Genomic DNA, 2,482 nt, shown 5'->3' on the forward strand with positions numbered 1-2,482 from the left:
AACATGACATAAACATGGGAAAAATAAATACTGAGGACTGCTAGAGAAGGGAATTGGGGAGAGGGATGTGAGTTGAAAAACTGCCTGTTGGGTACTATGCCCACTATCTGGGTGCAGTATACCCATGTAACAAAACTGCACATGTACCCCTTGTATCTAAAATAAAAGTTGAAATTAAAAAAAAATAATAATAAATTGCCTGCATAGTATCCATCAGGCTGGTTAGAATAGAGAAACGTGTAGCCAGGAGTTACCATGGCAGCCAGCATGAATGTAAAGATGTGTCCAATGGGGATCCTAGAGAAAGATGGACTAGGTTTGAATCTGTAATACAGCATCTTCTCTATCTCTCTTTTCTCTGACTTGAAAGGGAAACCAACCATGTATCTGTAGGGGTTCTGGGACTGTAGCTCAAAGCAGCTAGCTCCAAACCCTAAATTCCTTTGAAGTCAGTCTCTTATGAAAGACCATTGGGAAAATTCTGGGACCCTCCAACATCATTGAGTAATGATGTATTTTTCTCTCTTTCTCACAAGAAAAATTAAGGTTAATAGACTGTTGCCATTGTTCTTGAGTAATTATAATAGGAGTAATAATTTTAATATTAGCAATGTTATTTTATCTCTTGCCTTGGTCCACTCTCCAACATTCATCTACTTGGGAGAAGGTTAGGACTTGCTGGAGTAGCCATAAAAAGACAAACATTGAATTAAAATTCCATTTCTGACATTAAAAAATAGGATTTTGCTGCAAGACCAGGAAGACTTGCAAGCAGGCTATTGAGAGAAGACTTCCAAAATTCCTTTAGCTTGAACTTTAGCCTCTCAAAGCCCAAGCCTGGAGGCATCAGTGCATAGTTTTCTCAGCCTGATTTCCACCTAAGGCTTGACCAGAGTTAGAAGTAGGAGGAAGAAAAATACAACTTTGGGGAAAAATCACCCTTTCATCCTAGAGTGATGATAGGAAGGAAGAGACAAGATAAGGATCCAACGGCATCCATATACATCCTGTGGACGGAAGATGAAGGAGGGGCAGTGCTTTGGACTGAGCAATACTGAGGACAGAGCAGTCCATCACCAGCCTGGTCTATAGCCCCATCAAAGTAAACTGGGTGGTACAGAATGGGGAGGCAGAGAGAAGGATTTGGGGTCAATGTTTCTGGGCCATCCGTGGCTTTCGTTGGAGGAGCCTTGGCAAGACAATAGCTGAGAGCCTTCATTGAAGGGTTTGCTATGGTAGAAGTTTGAGTGATAGTCACAGAGAATCACCAGATAGATCTACGGCACCTGCAGGAGCAATGGAGAGGTCAAGATAGCCTCAGAGTTATGACTAGCAATGCAGCAATCTAGAAGTTACCCCAACCTCAGACTCCAGACTCAAATGCCATCAGAGTATAGGTGGACAAGGGATATCACCTCAGAGACCAGAGGAGAAGAGGCCTTGAGGCATGAGATGTCAACTGTTTTCCACTATCGTAAGCATGCTTGGGCAGGTAATGGAGAGGCTATGTATACCACAGAAAGACTTAATACTACCTGAAAGTCCTGCTTTAAATTATTAAAATTATTGAATCAGACTAGGCTCAAGCCAGATTATACATTTAGCTAATAATGTTTCCCACTCACCATGAGTAGGGTCAGGAAAAGTATAGATTAGTTACAGGTAAAATAAAAATATGCTTCCCCCTCACATCCAGTTTGGGGTATGGTTGACTTTTGCCACCATGCAACACAAATGACTCCCAGATTTTGTGAACATGTAGAAAATACCTTTGCTGCCTTGTTCATACCCCCTCAACCTACTCTGGAGGTCACAGGCAGACAGTTCCCAGGCCTGTGGATATCTTCCTATGTCTCTTTGCTTGATGGCATTCAAACAGCCATGAAATCATGCTCAGTTTGAGTAGGGCAGGACAGGCTAAGAGCTGGTACCTGAGGAGCAACACTGAGCCAGCGAGGAACTGGTGTTTGTGCTTAATAACCCAGCTTTCTCTCCCCTCAGTGGGACAATTCTAACTTATGTTCTTGTGGCTGCTATGAAAATACAGCCCTCATATCTCCACCCCTGCATCTGCTTTGCAATGACAGAGTCTCCCAGATGGCTGTTCTGCTGTGCGGAGATTATGTCTGTGGGTCAGATATTCCATAAGCCCTGGCTAGTGGTGCTATCTGAGGTTCTGTGGGCTGGAAAGGCAAATCCATACCTGGAATATGTATCTGTCCCTGTGAGGGCAAAGCACTGGCCTTTTCAGAATAGAAGGCTCCAATATAGTTGTCTTACACTGAGATGGTCTCTTGGAGCAGTAGGGATATATCAGAGACTCAGCCTTGCTCACTGTTGCTTGCAGGTTGGATATGCAGAGGCAGAAGGAGCTAGTGGTTTGGTAAGTGAGTGTCACTTGTTGGGCCCACATGTAACTTTGTGCCACTGGCCACTCCATTCATGTGTACAAAGTGTCAGTTCTGGAGGGACTGATAGCAAA

At 43.6% G+C, this 2,482-nt stretch overlaps 1 annotated feature.

The window, feature by feature from the left end:
• Positions 1,968-2,262: an enhancer, noted in NCBI's record as "tiled region #12150; K562 Activating DNase matched - State 5:Enh". NCBI's record gives its function as "activates a minimal TATA promoter and a strong SV40 promoter by Sharpr-MPRA in K562 cells {active_cell/tissue: K562}" and the evidence as "EXISTENCE:reporter gene assay evidence [ECO:0000049][PMID:27701403]".

This window comes from Homo sapiens, chromosome 11, assembly GCF_000001405.40.
Source record: "Homo sapiens chromosome 11, GRCh38.p14 Primary Assembly".
Taxonomy (NCBI): Eukaryota; Metazoa; Chordata; class Mammalia; order Primates; family Hominidae; genus Homo; species Homo sapiens.